Here is a 23606-nt window from a genome sequence, read left to right as displayed (position 1 = left end):
TTTTCACATATGAATCAAAGTATTAAGCGTCCTGAAGAAAGGTAAAAAATCCAATTCAGTATCCTTCTTCCCAGCCTCCTGAACAAACTTCCTTTTCCTTAAATGGTCACTGAAATTTAAGATAAAATTTTTGATATGTCAAACTGATTTTATTGTTTCTAGTGTCCACTACCATTCCTTGAGGGCTTACAATGGCTTCTGGTTGGGAGAAAGATGGGAAGAGGAGGACATTCAAGAAGATCAGAGACGTCTGGGGTGTGCAGAAGTATTTTTCCTTCTTATTTTCCTGTATTCAATAGGTAACACCATGGTGTGTGGCTTTTCTGGGCAGCCTGCAAATGTCATTGCTAGTGACAACATTTTTCTGCAGGAAAACATATTCCAGCTTTTAATCATCTTTAGAATAAACCCATTTATAAGCAGTATATTGGGAGTGAAAGCTGCCCAGGGAGATAAAAAACAATGAATTTTTTTCTTTCAAATGATTTTCTTTGGATTTATTCCCTCACATGCTTTTTAGTGAGTCAAAGGATATGATCGATTTACAAGTCCTGATGCAAGCTGACTGCAAGTGTGGTGGGGCCAGCACCCTCAGGTCTGAGGTAACCCTCAGTTTCAAATCAACTGTGACTATCCAGGGAGACTACTCTATCAGAGGTGTTTTCTTGGTTATAATACCACAAGCAACAACTAATCTCTATCGAGCTTTATAGTTTCCAAAGAATATTTCTGGCTATGCATCTAATCCTCAGTAAAGTAAGTCTGCTATTATTGCACCTTTTTTTTTTTTTTTTTTTGAGACGGAGTCTCGCTCTGTCTCCCAGGCTACAGTGCAGTGGCATGATTTCGGCTGACTGCAACCTCCGCCTTCCGGTTCAAGTGATTCTCCTGCTTCAGCCTCCCAAGTAGATGGGACTACAGGGGCATGCCACCACACCTGGCTATTTTTTTTTTTAAGTAGAGATGGGGTTTTGCCATATTGGCCAGGCTGGTCTCGAACTCCTGGCTTCGGATGATCCACCTGCCTTGGCCTCCCAAAGTGCTGGGATTACAGGCGTCAGCCACTGTGCCTGGCCTATTGTACCTATTTTAAAGCTGGGAAAAACAAGGCTTAGAGAGGTGGGGTGGCTTATATCTGGATCTAACACTTTGGCTAACATCCTTACACTTGGGCTATTTGGCTTACTCATTTAAAGCCCTTTCATCTCTGAATGCATTTGTAAGAGCTGTTTCCATGTCGGTGCCTGCAGCTCATGGGGGTGCAAGGGAAATGGAAAAGACTAAAAGGGACTGGACAATGAGGAAGGAAGGCAGTGCTAATGACACCGTGTGCCAGGGGACTCCAATCTCCTGCCATCACCGCCCCCCAGGCTCACTGGGACTGAGGTTCCAGGTCTTCCAGAGCTCCTGTCCATGCATGGCCACATCCCTGATCCTCACCAGGACTATGCCAGAGAGAACGTCTGACTCTCACACTCTCCCTTATAGCCCAGGGACTGTCAGCAGGAAGGAAGGAGAGAGTTCACCTACCTCCTGCAAGATGAACTTCTGATTCTCTGGGGCAGTTTCTTCGCAGAGATGCATGATAAGGGTATCCATTCCTGCTTCCACAGCAATGCAGCCCTCAGGCTGGTGGGTGTTATAGCGTATTTCTTTCTGGGACGTGTACTCGAAAAACTAAAAATGGGGCAGCCAACATGTAACACAACATTTTCCACTGATGTGGGAAGAGGAAAGATCGCTGGACAAGAACCTGGGATCACGAGAGCATGGGTGGGGTCATGCACCTGCGTCACCACCAACACGAGCCTGTGTGATGGGTTCCTCCGCATCCCACAGCCCTCAGTGAACCGCTACTGCAGTGCTTCATGAGCGTGGAGGAAATGGCCCTTCCCATGCCTGCCCAGCTTGCTAGACAGGGAGACAGGGCTGGTGCATGTCACCTCCTGCCTGCAGTGCTGAATGCTGTGTTGGTGTGGGATGGGAGGAAGGGAAATGGACCCATCGCAGCACTAGCTCTTGGGGGCTCTCTGTGACCTTGACTAGCTACTTCCTCTCCTTTTCCTCAGTCTCTCCTCCCAAACCCCCAATATGACAGTTCCTAGAAGATGTAAAGTGCTGTGCACAAGCAGACAATGTGACCGCTAACGGGAAGACTTGGTTCTTCCCGGACAATGGTTTTCCTACCTGAGTGTACTAGGAACTACCTACAGTGACTGTTAAAAATGCTGATTGCTGGCCCCATCCCAGAGACGGAATAAGGATTCCTTATGTGTGAGGTGGGGCCTAGGAAGCTGCATTTTCTGCATCTTTGACAAGACACCCACCCACCCCACCAGCCCCTTTCAAAAATTCTGACACAGGTGGGTGTTCTTAAGGCGCACAGAGCAGGGCTTGTCACACCATTATCTCCTGAAAAGCTGCTTAAAACAAGAGTCTGGGATTCGGTAGTGTTGGGATCAGTCTGAAAATGTGCATTTCCAAGCTCCCAGATGATGCTGATGGTAGCACTCAGGTACCATCAGCTTTGAGGAAGGCTGTTCTAAACAGTGTTGAAAACCTAAATAATTTAAGGTTGCAGGGGTTGGAATTAAGAAAGTTTACTCTTGACCATAAGAAGGCCTCATATTCAAGTGGCATTGGGGTGAATCCAGATTGGAAAAAACAACATCTGAATCTCTATCCCTTTGTTTCCTGGTGTCTGATAACTCCTTGGTACGGTGAAGCTTCAGAGGCCCAGAACCAACACTTCTCTCCATTCCTGCATCCTCCAAGGGTCCTGTCAACTGCTTTCCAGGGCTGGGGGTCCTTTTCTGGTCTTCAGACTCCCCCAGGACTGAATCTCCCCTGCCCAGCCTGAATTACAGCCCTTCACCCAGACAGATACACCTGGCCCCCAGCTGAGGCAATGTCCCTAAACACCACCTTGCAAGGTGGCCCTATGCATTAAACCTGTCATTCCACTTAACAATTAATTCTAAGGAAATCATCTGAAATGCAGATCTGTTACTTTATCCTTCCTTCTGTCTGACCCAAGGTGTTAGAGGCAGGGTTATTTATAATTGCAAAGACAGGGAGGCAGGGAACCAGTTAACGAAACAGTAATACAGGTACAAAATGAAATATCAAGTGGCCACTAGGAATGATATTCTCAAGGGGTATCTAATAACATAAGAAAAGTAGATGAAGGGAATGGAAATAATGGAATATAAAACATACAGACATTATGACAACTATTTACAACACATAATCTCTGTGTGTTATGTGTAAAAAATGATGGGAAGAAAACACATTTTAATTTTAACAGTGGTCTCTCTGAGTCTGGCCACCCTAGGCTTCTACTTTTTATATTTCCCAAATATTACTTTTACAAGAAAAAAATTCAACTATTTAATTTTTTTAACAAAACACACAGCTTTCTCCTCTTTTGAGGCTCATACCTACCTGATTCTGGCCCATCCCATGACAGAGGTACAGAATGACCTGGTGTCCCACAATCTGGTTTTCATCGGGAGGGTTATAGTCAAAGCAGTAGTCTGTTAGTCCTTTGTTCTGGAGCTAAATAAAACATAAATGTGGCATTTCAGTCCAGATTTATAGACACTAACAGATGCCACACAAGGCTTGGGGAGGGTACCTGGCATGAGAGGAGAGCCTGCTTCAAGAGCTAGACGCAAAGGTAAGAGTCTTTTCTGTACAGCACCTTCTAGCTTTAAAAGTGCTTCCTTGTTCTGCAGGCAAGAATCCTTACCCCTATTTTAAGTTGATAAGCCTGAGGACCAGAGAGATAAACTCTTCATGGCCTGAAAGCTCCTCTCTCTTTCTTTCTCATTAGTAGCAGCCTTACTGCTGTGCAAGTCCAAATATACCTGGGTTGATACCTCGAACTAGATTAATTAAGCTAACTAAATCAAGCAGGCGATAGACACAAAGAAAGAATTATTTTAGGCTGGGTTCAGTGGCTCATGCCTGTGATCCCAGCACTTTGGGAGACGGAGGCAGGTGGATCACTTGAGGCCAGGAGTTCTAGACCAGCCTGGCCAACACGGCAAAACCGCATCTCTACTAAAAATACAAAACTTAGCCAGGTGTGGTGGGGTGCACCTGTAGTACCAGCTACTTGGGAGACTGAGGCGGGAGAATCACTTGAACCCAGAAGACGGAGGTTGCAGTGAGCTGAGATCATGCCACTGCACTCCAGCCTGGGCAATAAGGCAAGACTCTGTCCTCCCCACCACCAAAAAAAAAAAAAGAATTAATTTAAATCACTTTAGAGCATGGTATGTTTGAAAATACCACCTATGAAATATATTCTATAAACAAACTGAGCTGCAAAGAAATTATAAACCTCATTCAGTATAATACTCTAAGCTGTAGTACTGTATTAATTATCTTGAAACTATTTTCAATATATTTTAGGATAAAGAAAATAAGTAATTATGTTAATATTGTTTAAAACCAAGATTTTCAGGGTAAGAAAAAAGAAATATGAGTATGCTATCAAAGAAAATTTTTCAAGACTACATTGGATTTTCAGATATTAATATAAGCTCATGATCTGTTTCTCAAAAATACGAATTTCCTTTCTCTGCCCAATGAGAAAAATTTAGAGCTGTGCTATTTCATGTGGCGGCCACTGGCCACTGTGGCTACTGGACACTTGAAATGTAACTAATCCAAATTGAGATATGCTATAAGTATAAAATTCACACCAGATTTCAAGGCTTAGTATGAAAAAAGAATGTAAAATGCCTCAATGAATAAATACTTATATTAATTATATGTTGAAATGATATTATTTGGGATATACTGAGTTAAACATTTCATTAACTTTACTTTTTTTTTAATATGGTTACTAAAAAAATTTAAGTTACAACGGTGGCTCTCATTATATTTCTGTTAAACTGCATGGTCTGGAGGCAATGACAACGCATAGCAACGGGCACCGCCAGCATCCAGACTGACTCCCAATACCGTTACCCAACAAAGGAGCAGGGCTTCTGGGAGGAATGGCAGGAAATGTTTAAAACTCGAATGGGACAACTTGGCCAGAATCAAGGAGGCTATCAACGCCACTGTAAGGTGTCAAAGACCTCAGAAGCCAAAATAAAGGGACTCCCACTGGCCAAAAACAATTTTCATATATTTTTTAAAAAGATGAATTGGGCTGGGCACAGTGGCTCATACCTGTAATCCCAGCACTTTGGGAGGCCTTGGCAGGAGAAATGCTTGAGCTCAGGAGTTCAAGACCAGCCTGGGCAACATAGCGAGACCTTAGTCTTTACTAAAAATAAAAATAAAAAATTAGCCAGGTGTGGTGGTGCTCACCTGTAGTCCCAGCTACTTAAGAAGCTGAGGTGGGAGGATCACTTGAGCCCAGTGATCCAGGCTACAGTGAGCTACAATGGTGCCACTGTGCTCCAGCCTGGGTGACAGAATAGAAGCCTGTCTCAAAAAACAATACAAAGAAGAAAAGATGAATTGATTGAAGCACACCGGCTATTTAAACACCCATTAGTTTACAATGACACTCAAGAAGAGAAAAAGCCAAAAAAAACAATGAGCCACAACAAAAAAAAAAACAACCCAGTAGATACAACTGGAGGAAACTAAAATACCAACTCTTACTCTGAAAATAAGCAAATAAAGAAAAGACTTAAGAATTTGTTATGCCTTGGCCGGGCATGGTGGCTCATGCCTGTAATCCCAATAGTTTGGGAGGCTGAGGCAGGCAGATCACCTGAGGTCAGTAGTTCAAGACCAGCCTGGCCAACATAGTGAAACCCCGTCTCTGCTAAAAATACAAAAAAAAAAAATTAGCCAGGCATGGTGGCAGGTGCCTATAATCCCAGCTACTCGGGAGGCTGAGGCAGGAGAATTGCTTGAACCCATGAGGCAGAGGTTGCAGTGAGCTGAGAGCGCGCCATTGCACTCCAGCCTGGGGGACAAGAGCAAGACTTTTCTCTCAAAAAAAAAAAAAAGAATTTGTCGTGCCTTTTCTGTATGAATTCTAAAACTCACATATACCAAATTGCTTTAGTTAATGAGGGAGTGTTCTTCTTTATGAAAAATTTCAGCTAATAAATGTGGAAGAAATGAAAGAGAAAAATCACCATTTGGCAACTCCATTTGAAATAATGGGCCTAGGCAATGGTTATCAGTGGCTACTAAAAACATGAGACAGAGGCTGATGGGGGTCTTATAATGACTGGTCCAGGTGAGGGATACTCCATTAACCCACTGGTCAACCTTATCACTAAAGATGACCATACTTCCTATGCTCCTGATATGACACAACATGAACACATAACATCACCCACAAAGTGTTCTTGCCAAAAAGGTGGATCCTGACTCTAATCAAACCTTTAGAACTCACTTCTATCTTAAAGAAATATGGGGGAGAGAGGCACAACTTGAAGACACCACAAAGAAAAAAATAGCAATTGCAAGAGTGAGACACTCCACAGGTAACATATTGTTTTTTCAACAAGTTAAAGATATTAACAAGAAAAAGGAAGAGGGCTGCCTTAGATTAAAAGAGATTTAGGAGACAAGACACAACCATCACATGCAATGTGTGCACCTTGTTTGGATCCCAATTCGAATTAGCCAGCCACTCAAAGAGAAACTGGAAAAGTTGGGGGAATATGTATTAGAACTAGACATTAAATGATACCAAGAAATACTTGTTCATTTCTACGGTTTTGTAAGATAATGTCCAAATGTTATGAAAATGCATAAAATGCAGAGGAGAGAAATGACACAATGCCCGGGATTTGCTTAAAAAGAGGAAAATGTGGAGGTGAAGTACAGGAGAGAGAAAGAGATAAAGAGAGGCAGGATCTTGAAAATTCTAGAATCTCAGGGATGGTATTCATTATACCATTCTCATACCATTCTCTCTGCATTTCTATATGTTTGAATATTTTCATAATGAAAATAGAATGTAACATGAATATCCTGCTTTATATGTATCAAAGACTTCTAGAATGGAACACCAGCACTTCTGATCAACACATCACAGCAGAGGAGACCTTGCTAAGCTGGTGTCATTCCCAGCAAAAACAAAAGACACTGGACATTTTATCTGGTCTCATCCCAAAAACATTTTTTAGGTTTTTTGAAATACTCGAAGTGACTCCCCTATACCCACTATTGCCTCTGTAGACTTCCAAACTTGGAATTATTAACTAGTCCAGCCATTGAGACTAGAAGTAATATGATAAGGCGTTGGTAAAAACTAGGACATGGAAACACCAGATAAGCCTCAGTTTCCTTACCTACAAAATAGTTGTCAATTTTGAGATGGCTTCCAGCTCTGACATTCTGCACCTACGGCCCAGACGCTCACAGGGAGAAAGAAGGGCAGTGGATAAAAAGGTGGTGGGGGGTGGGCAGGCGGGTGGGAGTGGAGGAAGCCAGTGCTCCCCATGACGTGGCCTTTCTTGCCCAGGATTTGCAGAGCAGACCCAGAGGCCAGGGAAGTCCCTGCCTGCCGTGGGCCCACCACCCTCACTCACCATCCCGAAGAAGCCAGGCCTGTCCTCAGGCACATGCAGTTCTGGATACACAGTCTCCAAGAACCACTTGAAGTCTTTACACTGGAGCTTGTCCCGGAGCTGCTTCCTCTCTGTCACATCCCCAAAAGGTTCCTGAGAAAACAACAAAACAGTGAGACCCCATGGGTCCTAGTGCTTCCTTTCAAAGCCCCTGTGTTCACTGATGCTCACTTACTAACCACCAGCCAGCTTTGATGGAGCATTCGTCGCATGCCAGGCCCTGTGTGGAGCACAGAGGATAGAAAACATCCTTGCACCTAATTCTAGCTTCTAGTATGAGAGGCTGTCACACAGACAATTCCATTCCTAGGTGCTCTGTTGGCAGGGGGGTGTGACCAGGTGCACAAGGGTAGAGGACAACCCGCCTGCTGATGGAGTGAAGGAGCCAAGCCCTGGGGCTGCACTGGCATCTATGGATCCCGGACCTGTGACCCATGCTTGTGATCAGAAGTCATCCTGAAACCCAACCAGGGAAATGTCAGTTTCACCGAAACATATGCCATGACTTTCTGGTTTACTACTAATATCTGAATATCCACTTTCAAACACAGGTAAATATTCTAGATGTAATCATGTTCTCAGTATGAAATAAGCAAAAAGAAATACTTATGCAAGTTTGGTTTTATGGGCAAAACTAATGACTGAGAGCTTTTGAATAATTAAATACAGCAAGCCTCTATTTAGTATCGCAAATGTGCAGCCACAAGAAAAATGCTGAGTGCAGAAATATTACCGTACCTGCACTGTCATGTTAAACAATTAAAAGCTGACAAGTTAAATATTGAACAAAATGGTAATAATAAGTACATGTTTGAATAAGATTTCAGATTTCTGCTATTTCCCAGAGTTCTTTCACTGGTGAAAGTCACTGCGCCCCCAGCTTCAGCCAAGTATCCATTTAGCACTTGGCCTTGGACATGAAGCCTAAGGGTGCATTCAGTGCCCCCCTAAAATATTCTCTGGGAACCCTCAGGAAAAGGGAACTATGGGTTCCAGACTGTGCATGAGGAAAGAGTGGGTGTTTCTACTCTATGGTGCTGGGCAAGACGGAGGAGGCAGAAGCAAATGACCATGGAGCCCAGAGCCAGAGAGGGGCTGAGTGGGAGTCCAGCTGAGAACCCATGGGCTCTGCAGAGCAGAGCAAGAGGTGCGCTGCAGAGTACAGGCCCCAAGCCCAGTTCTACCTCCTATCAGCCACAGGGCCTGGACAAGTTCCTTCCAACAGCGTCTCTCTGAGCTTCAGTTTTCTCATCTATAAAATGAGAATTTTATTGCTACCCTGCAGGGTTGCTGGAAGGACTCAGAAGAGACTTCCATGAAGTGGCCTGATGAGAAGCCTTAGAGCAAGACCTTCTTGTATTGCCAAGCAGCCCTACTAGTTATGCAAATGCAGGGCAAGCAGGCACCCTGCCATGGAGCATGCAGAGCTGGCTGGGGCAGAGGCAGTGGACTGTGTTTCATCTGAAGCCCAAGACCTGGGAAAGAAGAGGCAGATCCCTCATCCACAATGGTCCCGGAGGTAGAGGCAGAGCAAGGATCCGGACCAGAAAACAAGTCCCTGAGATAAATCGCTATGAGGAAGGACACAGTCTGGGCTGAACCTCAGCCTCCGACAGACTCAGTGCAGTGGGTGGATGGGCCAGTGTCCCTGTAGTGTGTGGCTGAGACCCAGGGGAGCAAGCCAACTGAGCTGAGACTTCAGTGACTGCAGGCACACCTTCACCATTGGTCAGAGAGATGGGCCCAGCAAGGCCTCTGAGTGGGGAGGAAGATAGACATCTGTTAGGCTGGCGGTGGGGGGGTTTCCATGACCATGACATATGGTGAGAAAGAGTAGCAGCGGGGGCCTGGGCCACTCTCCAGTAGTCCTTCCATCTGGAAATGGAAGCAGAACAGACTCCCTGTTTTAGAAAAGGAAGCTTCCAGGGTGCTAACAAGAAGGCTCTAGAGGGAGGTAACAGACCCCTAACTAATAAGGCGGATGTGTCCCTGAGCAATAGCTTTAAGGTAAAGAACTGTGCCTTAACTTGTACCCTGTGTTTGTGGACTCACCCTACTGGCTACAAAGAGGAAAACCAAAACACATGGACAATGCCTGGCCTGTGACACCAGGTATCCCCAACTATCTATGTTGGTACAGTCCATCCTCATTATTTACTGGTTCTGTATCTGAATTTCCCTACATGCTATAATAAAATTGATTTGTAACCTCCAAATCAATACTTGTGGTGTTTTCTAATTTTCACACACATTCATGGACAAAAAATTTGAGTTGCCCAACACTTAACTCCCATTTCCAGGTGATATATAACAAGGGCACACACCGCCTTCTTGTTTCAGCTCTCATCCTGTAAACCAGTGTTCTTTTCACCATCTGTTGGGCACCACATTTTTTCCTGCTTTGTATTGGTGACTGCACCAGCTATTCTAGAATGTCCCCCAGTCGTAGTGCTGAAGTGCTACCTAGTGTTCCTAAATGCAAGAAGGTTGTGATGAAGAGAAAATAACACGTGCTAGGTAAGCTTCATTCTGGCATGAGTTACCGTGCTGTTAGCCATGAGTGCAATGTTAATGATGCAACGATATATGTTAAACAGGTGTCTTTGAACAGAAACACATAGAAAACAAGGTTCTGTATTGATCTGCTGACAAAACTGTGCCCCAAGTCTGGCAGGAACCTAACCCTGTATTTCCCCTAAGAACAATGGCTCTGTTTTCATGAATTCAGCATTTGTGGTGGCTTTATGCACTATAACAGCTGTAAATAAGAAGATTTGACTGCATATAATTATTATAAATGGAGGAATAAATTCTCCCCTTACTCGTATCTGAGCACCCAATTTATTCTCTATTTCTGGAACCAGATCGACTATGTTGGGGAAGCCACGATTAGCTGCTGTTGTTCAGATGAAGCCAGATGGAGTGCAGGTGGGCCGAGGAACTCACCAAGCGGGCACGGGGGTTGCGATGGTAGTAGAGCTCTTTAAATTCATCCATCCATACTTCAGCTGCACGAACACTGTTGGCCAGAGCCTTGTTGCGGGAGTAGGGAGCTTGCTTGGGGAAAACATGGCCAACATGGGAACATGGGTGTGTTTCCAGAACCCCACCACACTGCCAGATCTGCACACAGAGAAAAGGAGAGGCCAGGTGGTGAGCAGGGGATGAGCTGCGGGTCCATAGTATCTGCAGCAAAGAGGCCAGGCACACGCAAGGCATGATGGACACTGCCAAGATGCTCAGCCTCCATCGGGCAGGAGGCCACCTACCCGGCACACTCATGACACAGAATGTGGGTAAAGAGCAAGAAAGCAGCCCCCAAAACATATAAGCTGTGGGAACCAAGACCCCAAAGTCCATGCACTAAAGCTCATGCACTTGACTCACAGGAGCATCCACAGAGACCTCGCTGGCAACCCACTTACTCATTACAGAAAACACAGGCTTGATTACCTGATCTCCTAGCCACAGAAGATAGGAAAGCAGCAAGGAAGAAAAGAGGTTTGGAAGGGGGAAAGGAAGAGCGTCTAGAAACAGGTAGAGCAGCCTGACACCTAAGGAAGAGGCAGAGAGACCATTAAAAGCACACCCAAAGACTCAACAGGCGAAGGCATCTGAGCCCATCTCACACTGGGACTGACAGCCTTGAATATCTCATTTTCCCAAAGATGGGACAACCAAGCACAGCATCTGGTACTTATTACAGAGGGCGTGAGTCCTCGGTAGAAGGCCAAATTCTTGTTTATTCAGTTTTTATGAGGGCAGAACACCATATAAAATATTATTAAAAATCTTAATTTTCCACTGAAAAGCACCAACATTTACACAAAGTTTTGATGCTTAAAATGTAAGACTTCATTAACTGGAAAATCTACTGAAATGCTAGGAGTTTTCCAATACGGTTTTCACGGGCCATGTAGAGTAGCATCAGTAGGAAGGCTTGTTACAAAAAGCAGAATCTTGGTCCCACCCTAAAGCTATCAAATCTAGCTAGAATTCTAGATTGTGCTTGTGAATCTGTCTTTCTAACAAGTTTACCCAGCAATTCTTACATGTGTTGGCTGGGTGCAGTGGCTCACACCTATAATCCCAGCACTTTGGGAGGCCAAGGCGGGTGGATCACCTGAGGTCAGGAGTTTGAGATCAGCCTGGATGACATGGTGAAACCTCGTCTATACTAAAAATACAAAAATTAGCCGGGCATGATGGCACATGCCCATAATCCCAGCTACTCGGGAGGCTGAGGCAGAAGAATCACTTCAACACAGGAGGCGGAGGTTGCAGTGAGCTGAGATCGTGCCACTGCGCTCCAGCCTGGGCGACAGAGCGAGACTCCGTCTCAAAAAAAAAAAAAAGAAATTCTTACATCTGTCAAAGTTTGAAAGGCACTGTGCTAAATAAAGAGGCCACTTCATAAGGAATTAATCAAGTAAAGGCTCCAGAAGACAGGATCAGGAGGAACCTAACCCTGAGCAAGTCACCTCTCTCCTGGTTTCATTTCCTCCTCTCCATAGAGTGAGAGAGAACTATGTGACTCGCAAGGCCCTTGCTGGCCCCAAATCTAGAAAAAGTACACTTTTTAAAAAGCTAAAACAAGAAAGCAAGCATGTTTATAGGATATGCGTGTCATCATCTTTCAGGGTCCACCAGGCTCTTACAGCAAATCCCATCGTTCCCAAAGAGAGAATCAGTTAAGAACATGTCCAAAGAGAAGACTGAAATACTTACCCTAAAGGAAAATTCGAGGTTTTCTCCTCCCCAAACTTCCATTCCTGTATCATAAGACCCCAGATATTCAAAATATTTCTTACTCACAGCAAACAGCCCACCAGCCATTGTTGGAGACCTAAAAAAGTATGATATCCTTATTTCACTGTAGACAGCAGAAAACCATCACAGTTATCCAACTACCTTCCCACCACGAGCCCTTTCATCTGTTCATCTGTCATCTCTAAGCATATCCCGCCTTCACCTCTGTGCCCCACACTAGGCTGGGCCTGGAGGCATAGATGTACCCTACGGTCCCTGCCTTGAGGTGGCTCCCAGGCTTCTCAGCAGGTAAGTACTATGTGTGTGCTAAATATGTTAACTAAGGTCAGCCAGGGCCCTGGGAGAACACTGAGGAGGGCAGGGGCAAAAGGGCAGGACTAGGTTCCCTGGAGGAAGCAAGGTCTGCAGGACAAAGGACAGTTAGCCAAGAAGAAGAAGGGAAATGGAATGGTTCTCCAGCATGAGCAAAGGCTTAAGGGTGGGAGAAATCCAGGGACATTTAGAAGCATAGAGAGCAAGGAGAAGAGAGAAGCAAGAGACCACGTTCCGAGAAGAAGGCAGGCTCCAGGCCATGGTCATCTGAGGAGGTGTGATCTCACAAGGCAGGCACTCACAGATGCCACTCAGAGGCCAGTATGCAGAAGGCCCTAAAGGCAACTCTGGCATCTGAAAGTGCCCCGAGGGCCAGGTCCTCTTGAGTGGTTTCCTCCACTAGGACCCAGCTAGCCAGCCTCAGGCTGCTTTTTCAGCCAGCCTTGTTTCCCGCCACCCACCACCAGGTTTATCTGGAAGCCAGCACTAACCAGAAACGGCCCACGGCTTCCAGCCTACACGGCAGAACACTGTAAGGTCAGCACGTCCCAGAGTTGCACAGGCAAAAGGATGAATTCAGAAATAGGGAAAGGGCTGGGCACGGTGGCTCATACCTGTAATCCCAGCACTTTGGGAGGCTGAGGCGGGCAGATCTCCTGAGGTCAGGAGTTCAAGACCAGCCTGGTTAATATGGCGAAAACCTGTCTCTACTAAAAAAATGCAAAAATTAGCTGGGTGTGGTGGCCCACAGCTATAATCCCAGCTACTCAGGAGGCTGAGGCAGGAGAATCACTTGAATCCAGGAGGCAGAGGTTGCAGAGAGCTGAGATCATGCCACTGCACTCCAGCCTGGGTGACAAAGCGAGACCCCAACTTGAAAAAAAAAATAGGGAAAGAGAACATTGAGAGCGCAACCACTGAAAATGTTAACATCCTGCAGCATCGGGGCCTGCCCTGGACTCCAAGCATGGGGCCAACTGAGAAGACAACAGCAACATCCCCAGTGGAAGGGAAGGTTCTAGACTACAAAGCACCTTCACGTGTGTTTATCCTAAAAATCTAGGAAATAAGCAGGGTGGATATGCTGGTACCTATTATACAGATGAGATAACTGAGGCACAGGGATATTATGGGATGGGGAGGATAGGTGCCCTGAGCATGTGGGGTAACGGGGCAATTAGAATTCATGGACCCCCATGAATTCATGACAGGCTGCCTAAGTAGCCTAGATTAGAGCCTCCTGCTCTGTGTCTCAGTTTCCAAACCTATTCAGTGAGGGATTGAGCAGGATGTTCTCACTAAGGGCTCCTACAGAAGCCTGGGTGCCATTCTTAATTCCTTCCTTCCCCAATTCCCACTCAATTTCTTCCAATTCTTCCATCTTAACATCTCTGGAATCCACAGTGCCCACCATCTCCTGAACCATTGTTTCTGACCTGGAAGACTGCAGAGCCTCCTAATGGTATCCCTGCCTACAACGGTCCCCCCAGGGCCCTCACCACATGGCACGCAGCACATGCTCAGGTCACTTCCTGCTCCGATCCCTTCAGTGGCTTCTACCTGCTCAGGGTCAAGTCCAAACCCCTTCCCTTGGCCCCGCCCATCTCTCCAGCCTTATCTCTGGACACTCTCCTTGCTTGCTCCACTCCTGCCAGCAGCGGGTCATCTTAAGGTCAGGACTCTGGTGAAAGAATTCAGAAGCCCAACTGCCAAATGTGGACGCAAAACTCAGAGCCTACTTCCGGTTCAACACACCAGCGGTGAGGCTGAAGTCCTGACCTCCTCCTGCCCAACTCCCACATCTGTCTCCCACTTGCTTCTGAACTTGGAAGGGGAGGAAGAAGCCAGGCTATCACTTCAAAACCTCCAGAATGAGAGCTGCTGAGCCTCCCTTGGGCCCATTCTACTCAGAGCTTGACTCACCCACTGGCCAGAGCAGACTCCTCCACCTGCCATGGATCCACCCACACCCCAGGTCAAAGGGGCCTAAAGATGTTTCCTCAAGAATGAGCATATGACCAGCAATCCCACTCCTAGGTGTATACCCAAAAGAATGGAAAACAGGGACTCAAGCAGATAAAAGTACACCGATGTTCATAGCAGCATTATTTAACAATAACCAAAGGACAACCCAAGTGTCCACCAACAGAAGAATGGATAAACAAAATGTAGCATATATGTACAAAGGAATATTACTCAGCCATCACAAGGAATGATGTTCTCTAGGAAACTTGAAAACATGATGATAAGTCAAAGAAGCCAAGTACAAAAGGACAAATATTGTATGATTCCACTCACATGGGGCGCCTGAAAGAACAGAGGTTCCCAGGGGCTGGGAAGGGGAGAATGGGAAGTTATTGCTTAGTGGGGATATTTTCTGTGTGGGATGATGAAAAATTCCTGGAAATAGGTAAAGATCATGTTTGCACAATACCGTGAATGTGCTCGATGCCACTAAAATTGCATGCTTTGTTTTATTTATTTATTTTTTTATAGAGACAGGGTGTCACTCTATCGCCCGGCTGCAGTACAATTGCGTGATCATAGCTCACTAAAGCCTTGAACTCCTTGACTCAAGCGATCCTCCTATCTCAGCCTTCCAGCTAGCTAGGCCTACAGATACACACTAGCATGCTCAGCTAATTTTTATTTTTTTGTAGAGATAGGTTCTTGCTATGTTGCCCAGGCTGGTCTCAAACTCCTGGACTCAAGCAATCCTCCCACCTTGGCTTCCCAAAGTACTGGGATTATAGGCATGAGCCACCATGCTCAGCCTAAAATTGCATACTTCAAAATGGTTAAAATGGTAAATTCTCTATGATGTATATTTTACCACAATTTAAAAATTAAATAAATAAAATATACCGATATAAAATTGACATGTGTAGCAGACACGTTTAATAAAAATAAACAAATACTCTGGGCAAAAAAGTGGGAAGAGGGGAGGTAGTTAAGCTGACAGCTAACCATTCCTCCCGAGGGCCTCCGCTCACAGGTCAGCCAGATTCAATGAGGCATGCTTAAAAAACAAGTCACCCAGAAGTCAGCTCCTGACCTGATGACATCGACGGGGGATTGCATCCGTATCCTCTCCCTCTCAGGAACTGTGTGCCACGTGAACACCAGCCTCCAGTCGAAACCGCCGATCTGGGGCTCCCCGGAGTTCCCCAGGTATTCGAAGGTGTTCCAGTCGATCACATCAATCACCGGGCACACCACTGCCGACTCCTCTTCATGGATCCTGAAAGCACCCAAGACATCCATCCGTCTCTCCTATGCAGACGGGCAGCAGGAAGACAATTGGGAAATTCAAGGGTGAATTCTTGTCTTCCTTCCAATAAGAGGGAGGAACATCTGAGAAAGACCTGCTTCTCTTATTCCAGGTGTCTGCAGCCGTGTCAGAGCCCTGGCAGGTGACCACCATGGGGGAGATCTGGGGGCCACGGAGGGCTTTAAAACAAAAAGTCCCATGACTTTAATATGCTCTGATTCTATCCATGGACATTCTGACCAAACGCTCTATGATTTCAATTTCTCAGAAGTGCAAGAGGTTTAATCACAATGAAACACCTTAACATCAAGAAATACTTATCTCCTAAGAACAAAGGTGCACCCAGACCAAAGGGTCAGCTTTGGAATTAGAATATAAATTCTAATCCTGCTATTTATTTGTTGTGTGACATTAGCCAAGTCACCTAACTTCAGAGCCTATTGCCTCAGTGGTAACACTGGAATTATAATATCCATTCAGAGGGTTAATGTGAGGACTTCCTGGGAAAATGTTTTTAAGATAGCTGGCAGAGAACCTGAAACTATTGCTATTTTTTTATTTTAATGTTTGTTATTGTGAAATATTACATATAGTGAAAAATGCTATAATTTCCTTTTGCAGGTATCAGCCTGTGTGTTGGCTTCAACGGTTCTCTCCACATTATTACAAATCTGGCCATCCCTCAGCATGCTTCCAGGCCGTGTTTCTTTGCATTTGCCACTACACCAGGAAAGATGGACTGAGACTAGACCACGTGTGAACACTAGATTTCCTTGAGTACATTTTGGGGGACGTTGTCTGGAATTTGAGACCTAAAAATCCTAAGAGTCCTGCCACACAGGACAGTGCAACAGAGATCAACCAGACTTGAGCTTTCGGTGTCCTTAGAATGACACCAGAAAGTCAGAGGGGATATTAGAAATACCACTCTGGGGTAAGAATTACAACTATCGGGAAATTGCACTGTTCAGAACAGGTTGCGTGAGACAGGGTCTTAGATCTGTGAGTTCCCCAAATTGAGGAAGTTGCATACTAGGTATCCACCAACATCCGCTTATTTAAAGCAATTGAGGGCATTATTTAAAAGGTTGAAAGGGCCAACATCAGACCTGCTGGGCAAGTTCTAGCTGGCCCCTGGCAAAGGCCAGCTCCCCCAGGAACTGATGGCTTGTGATCAAGCTGGCTGGAACCACAGAAAGCCTAATTTTTACAAGGAGGGGAAAACTAGGGGAATGCTGTACCAGCATTGGAGTATAGGACTCCCAGTCGTGGCTGGAGAATGTGCAGGACCCACAGGGATGCTATTGGCATCTGGGCCAGAACCATTCTCCACTGAACAGGGCTGATCTGCAGGATACTTGGCCTCCCTGATACACAAAATGCCAGGAGCCCTACCTGGTTGACATGACAACCAAGAATACCCTCCCACATTTCCAAAAGCCCCTGGATGGAAAGGGTTACCACTCCTGTCTGGGGCCACCTTAGGGAGAGTCCACAGTCTGATGTGTCCCAATGCTCGTGCACACCAAAGTCCCCTGGGGAGCTTTTGAAACATGCAGAAGCCGAGGCCCCAGCCCCAAGAGTTAGATCCAAATGGGACCAGGCATTGGTGTGTTTAAAAAGCTCCCCAGGTTGAACCCTCACACACCGTTGGTGGGAATGTAAATTAGTACAACCTCTATGGAGAACAGTTTGAAGGTTCCTCAAAAAACTAAAAATAGAGCTACCATATGATCCTGCAATTCTACTCCTACGTACATATCCAAAAGAAAGGAAGTCAGTGTATCGAAAATATATCTGCACTCTCATGTTTGTTGCAGCACTATTCACAATAACCAAGATTGGGAAGCAACCGAAGTGTCCATCAACAGATGAATGGATAAAGGATATGTGGTACATATACTCACAATAGAGTACTATTCATCCGTAAAAAAGAATGAGATGCTGTCATTTGCAACAACATGGATGGAACTGGAGGTCATTACGTTAGGTGAAATAAGCAAGGCACAAAAAGACAAAGTTTGCATGTTTTCACTTATTTGTGGGAGCTAAAACTTAAAACAATTGAACTCATGGAGACAGAGAGCAGAAGGATGGTTACCAGAGACTGGGAAGGGTAGTTGGTTGGGGGAGTGGGGATGGTTAATGGGTACAAAAAAATAGAAAGAATGAATAAGACGTACCAGTTGCTAGCACAACAGAGTGACTATAGTAAAAAAAAAAAATAATTTAATTGTACATTTAAAAATAACTGGCTGGGCGTGGTGGTTCATGCCTGTAATCCCAGCACTTTGGAAGGCTGAGACGGGCAAATCACTTGAGGTCAGGAGTTTTACACCAGCCTGGCCAACATGGTGAAACCCCATCTCTACTAAAAATGCAAAAATTAGCCTGGCATGGTAGTGCATGCCTGTAATCCCAGCTACTCAGGAGGCTGAGCCAGGAGAATCACTTGAACCTGGGAGGCAGAGGCTGCAGTGAGCCGAGATCACCCTACTGTACTCTAGCCTGGGCAACAGAGCGAGACTCTGTCTCAGATAGATAGATAGATAGATAGATAGATAGATAGATAGATAGATAGATAGATAAAAAAAATTACTAAGAGTATGACTGGGCCAGGTGCAGTGGCTCACGCCTGTAATCCCAGCACTTTGGGAGGCTGAGGTGGGTGGATCACTGAGGTTAGGAGTTCGAGACCAGCCTGGCCAACATCGTGAAACTCTGTCCCTACTAAAAATACAAAAACTAGCCAGGTGCGGTGGCACGCACCTGTAGTCCCAGCTACTCAGGAAGCTGAGGCAGGAGAATCACTTGAACTTGGGAGGCGGAGGTTGCAGTGAGCCAAGATCACGCCACTGCCCTCCAGCCTGGGTGACAGAGTGAGACTCTGTCTAAAAAAAAAAGAAAAAAAGAGTATGAGTGGATTATTAGTAACACAAAGATAAATGCTTGAAGGGATGGATATCCCATTTCCTCTGATGTGATTATTATGCATTGCATGCCTGTATCAAAATATCTCATGTACCCCATAAATATATACACCTACTATTTACCCACAACAATTAAAAATTAAAATATAAATTTTTTAAAGTTTCCCAGGTATTTCTAACAGACAACCGAGGTGGAAAATCCCCTCTTCCACAGGCATGCAGCAAGGAGGCGGCTGGCCCATGTCCAAAGGGTGGGATGAAGAGGAATTCTAAAAGCATTAATCCATCAGCTGCAGAGAAAGAAATGTCCTCTCCCCATGATTTCAGACCTGTGTAGAGGTGGCCATCTATGAGTGCAGTGGGGGAACGAAGGAAGGGGAGCCCATTGGTCTGGGTTCCAGAGGGAGCACTCGGCCATAACTGTGCTCTAATCTCCAGCTCCATCACAGGCCAGAGGAGCCTCGAATCTGCTGCTAGGAAAGCTCATCAGAGCTGAGGAGGAGAAAGAGACAGCTATAGAACCTGCAGCTGACAAGAAGCCAGGACAGTAGGAAGTGGCAGGGCAGGGGGCAGCTGGGTCACACCCAGGAAGGAAGGCAAGTGGGTCCCCAGCTCTTTCAGACAACCCTAACAACCATGGAGTTGGCATCTGCGGGGAAGCAGTTCCCCAGCTGCAGAGACCCTGCCCCTCCAGCCCTTTGCCTGCTCCACAGCGGGGAGGCCAAGCAAAGATCCCTTCCTTCCTCTCCCACCTGGGGAGCTTCTGGTTGGCAAGCCCAGCTCCTGACTTCTATGATGCAGAAACAGAAAGGGCAGAGAGACGAGGCAGAGCATGGGGAGGAAAGAGACAGAAGGGAACAAAAAGTGGGCCCCAGTAGATGGTGGCTTCTTGAGGGGGGAAGGTAGGAGGGTGAGAGTGAGATGCCGTGGAACAGCAAGGACAATGGCCTTGAGAACAGGGTTACATTATGACTTTCAGGGACCCTTCCTCTATAACAACCAGACATATTAAAAAGCATATTTTATGACTATACTGGTATAAAGACAAATACAATCCATGCTAGATTCATTATTACATACCCATTATTATGATATTCATTTTTCCCTTCTGATTTTAAAAGAAATTCATAACATTTATCTGGGTTCCTTCCAGTTTCATGGGCCCTAGGCATTGTTCCTCCTGGGTGTAAGGGTTAAGTCAGCCCTGCTTGAAAGAAATACATCAAAATGTGTATTCTTTAGGAGTGCCATTCTATTTGACTGAGGATTTTTTAAAATGTTCTTGGTTGATGATACTTCCTCGGTTTTCTGCAACAAGCCCGGATAAAAAGGAATAATAAGGCCGGTGTGGTGGCTCACGCCTGACGTCAGGAGTTTGAGGTCAGGAGTTTGAGACCAGCCTGACCAAAGCAGTGAAACCCCATCTCTACAAAAAAATATAAAATTAGCCAGGTGTGGTGGTGCATGCCTGTAATCCCAGCTACTCCGGAGGCTGAGGAGGAGTGAGGAGGAGAATCGCTTGATCCCGGGAGGCAGAGGGTGCGGTGAGCCGAGATCACACCATTACACTCCAGCCTGGGCAACAAGAGTGAAACTCTGTCTCAAAAAATAAAAAGAAAAAAGAAGGAATAATAAAAGCAAACAGTGACACAGGGCCTTCTCCAGCTGGCACTCCCAGGCACTTGCCATGCACTAAATCATTTAACGGTCTCAACAGCCGAACTAAGCAGGGACTGCTCTCCTGCCCAGTGACAGAGAAGCAGCTGAGCCCAGGCAACCCGTTAACCCTCAAGTGACGTGATGAGTCTGTTCCTCATGCTACCTACTCCAGGTAACATGCTGTCTCTCCCATGGTGGGCGGCTCACGTACCTCTGCAGCAGCGGCTCCAGCCACCCTTCGTGGCACTCACAGTGACAGTCCAGGAAGGTCAGAACATCGCCCCTCGCCGCAGACGCCCCCAGCAGCCGGGCTCGCACCAGGCCCTCTCTCTTGTTGGCGCGGATCAGGCGCACCTTGGGCAGTCCCGAAAGCTCATTGGCCAAGCGCTCCTTCAGGTGCTCTAGGGAGGCAAACAAAGCAACAGGGGTCACCGTGACAATCTCGGAGGAGCGCCTCATCCCAACCCGGGGCCTTCTGGGCCTCCCTGTCCCAAACAGAAGATGAAATAGACAGGAGCCTCCTTTGCTCTGCCACCTGGGACATCCTTACCTCACCCAGAACCAAGGTTGGAAGTGCTCCGAAGGCCAGGAGGAGGCTGGGGGAGGAATTCCAGAACCACCATTTGCTCCCCATCTAAACACATGCACGTTGAATTGTACACTTCAAATGGGTGAATTGAATGGTGTGTGAATATATTTCAATAAAGCTGTTACAAAAAATGCTTTACAGTTTTGACTCATGAGCATTTAAAAACCAAAAAACACGTGAACCATCTAATCGCAATTTTTATAAAAACAGTAGTTATGTTAATAGAAATTTTCTCAGGAGTACTTTACAGTTTCAGTAGTAGTAACAATAATAATAGCAGCTAAAACTAAAGAGGACTTGCTGTGCCAAGTACTACCTAGGTGATTTCTAGATAACCTATCTGATCCTCATAACAATCCTCTGAGGCAGGTGATAGTATTATCCCTATTTCACAGATGAGGGCACTGAGGCCGGAGAGGCTAAGTAACTTGCCCAAGGTCACAGAGTAAGGAAGTTGAAGAGCCATGAGGGGAACCCGGCTCCAAATTCTACAAGCTAACACTACCGCCCAGAGCAGCCACCGGAGTGAGAGCCTGTCTATAAATAAATCAATAAATAAAAGCATTAATTGGTTGATTTTTTTTTTTTTGAGACAGGGTCTCACTCTGTCAGCCAGGCTAGAGTGCAGTGGCATGATCATGGCTCACTGCAGCCTCAACTTCTTGGGCTCAAGCAATCTTCCCACCTCAGCCTCCCAAGTAGCTGGGACTACAGGCATGCACCACCACACCTAGCTACTTTTAAAATTTTTTGTAGACATAGGGTCTTCCTATGCTTCCCAGGCTGGTCTCAAATTCCCGGGCTCAAGCAATCCTCCCACCTTGGCCTCCCAAAGTGCTGGAATTACAGGCATGAGCCACCGCACCCAGCCAATTTTTTAAAAAAATCCAAATTATAACCACAAATAAGTTGATGGCAGGAATAAGGCAGGTAATTTTGCAAGCAAAGCTAATTAGCTACTGTACCCAGTGAACCCATGAGTGCAGCATGGCTGCCCTGCACTCGTGATGGATCTTGTCAGCATTAATTTTATGTCTGCCTGAACTGTCTCCCTGCATCTGAGAGGGCCTGACACCCTTTCATCAAGCTTACACTGACACTGCAGAAATGGTGGGGAGGGGAGGCAAGGCAGGACTTCCTAACTCATTACAGGTTAAAGCAGGGCATCATGCCTGTTTTCCCAAGTTCCCACAATGACAGGAAGGGAAGCTTGGTCCACACTGCCTCACATTTTTATGAGAGAACTGAGATGTGTCAGAGGAATTTCTACTGTATTCCTGCCTACTGAGGAGCTATTTAATCCCATTATTATAAAATAAATAATCCGCTCTTTGACTTTAGATTAATATATTTGTGAAATGCTGTTTTTTTCATTTTGCAACTTTTTAAACATTTAAACATTATAAAAATAGAAGTTATCATCTAACAAGAGCTCACTAAATGCCAAGCACCTACCCAGCACATTACCCTCCTCATCTCATTCAATGCTCACGATGATCCTACAAGGTAGAAGCTATCATTATTCCCATTTTATAGAGGCTGAAGCCAAGTTTGAAACTGGTTAGGGTCATTGCTCAAAGTTGTCTAGTCGCTAGGTGTTGGGGGAGGGGGATTCAAGCCCGTGCAGTGTGGCCCAGAACCAATGTCCACACGGAGAGATTTAAAACGACCCTGGGGGGAAACGGAAAAAGGAAATGCAGATGAGCACCTACTATGTGCCGGCTGCTACATGAGGTTCTGTCCTATACATGATCCCATTTATTCCCCACTATAATTCTCTTGAGATAGGTGTGGACAGACCCATTCACAGGTGAGAAACTGAGGCTCAGAAAAGACAAGCAACTCGCCCAAGGTGCCATAACTGGATCATCGTCTCAGACCCAGGTGCCCTGACCCCAGAACCCAATGCCTTCTAGGCTATAGTCAGCACCAAACCCCAGCCTGGCTTACCCCAGCCTGGCTTACACGCTGTCACAGACACTGCTCCTTGTGCCTTAAACCCATTCTCCCTGTGACCTGTAACTGAACACACAGCCAGCAGGATAAAGGCCACAGCTCCCAGCCTCCCTTGCAGCTACACGTGGCCAGGCAACCACGCTCTGCTCAATGGGATGTGTGGAGAACTTCCAAGCAGTGCCCTCGGGAGGAAGGGTGTGGCTCTCCTTCCCCTTTAAGTCTTCTGGTTGACCAGAGTGAGTAGGAGGTGAAAAACCAGCCTGGTCCATGAGGACCAAGGCAGCAGAGCACCCTAGAGAAGGTGGGAACAGGTGCAGAAGGAGCTGAGGCCCCATCCACCAAGGAGCCACCACACCCATTCTAGACTAGCACACCAGATTTGTGATGTGAGAAGCCTGTTTCTATCTTGTGTGAGTCACTATTGAGTCTGTGAAAACAGCCCAATGCACACACCTATTAGAACACACAGAGGCCAGTTTTGAAGTCAGAGCAAGTGCAGCATCTGAGGCAGCAGATGCCCCATCAGCAGGGGTTGCTTCCCTTTGAGACAGGCTGTAGTG

General features: G+C 46.0%; 1 protein-coding gene across 6 annotated transcripts in view; it reads right to left on the bottom strand.

Moving 5' to 3' along the window:
• Nucleotides 1–23606, bottom strand: part of GALNT12 (polypeptide N-acetylgalactosaminyltransferase 12) — a 42412-nt gene that overhangs the window by 2428 nt on the left and 16378 nt on the right. For 5 of the 6 annotated variants that reach the window (NM_024642.5, XM_006717287.1, XM_011519018.3 and 2 more), the window contains 7 exons: nt 20713–20902; nt 15697–15882; nt 12288–12405; nt 10506–10682; nt 7521–7652; nt 3445–3558; nt 1531–1677 (listed from right to left, as the gene is read on the bottom strand). In NM_024642.5, the coding sequence (NP_078918.3) occupies nt 1531–1677; nt 3445–3558; nt 7521–7652; nt 10506–10682; nt 12288–12405; nt 15697–15882; nt 20713–20902 (1064 nt within the window). Of the gene's footprint in view, nt 1–1530; nt 1678–3444; nt 3559–7520; nt 7653–10505; nt 10683–12287; nt 12406–15696; nt 15915–20712; nt 20903–23606 lie in introns of those variants that run through there. The other variant, XM_011519020.2, reaches the window with a different exon arrangement.

Source organism: Homo sapiens, chromosome 9, assembly GCF_000001405.40.
Source record: "Homo sapiens chromosome 9, GRCh38.p14 Primary Assembly".
Lineage (NCBI taxonomy): Eukaryota > Metazoa > Chordata > Mammalia > Primates > Hominidae > Homo > Homo sapiens.
Note: the sequence above shows the minus strand (reverse complement) of the source record. Positions and strands in the feature narration are given on the sequence as shown.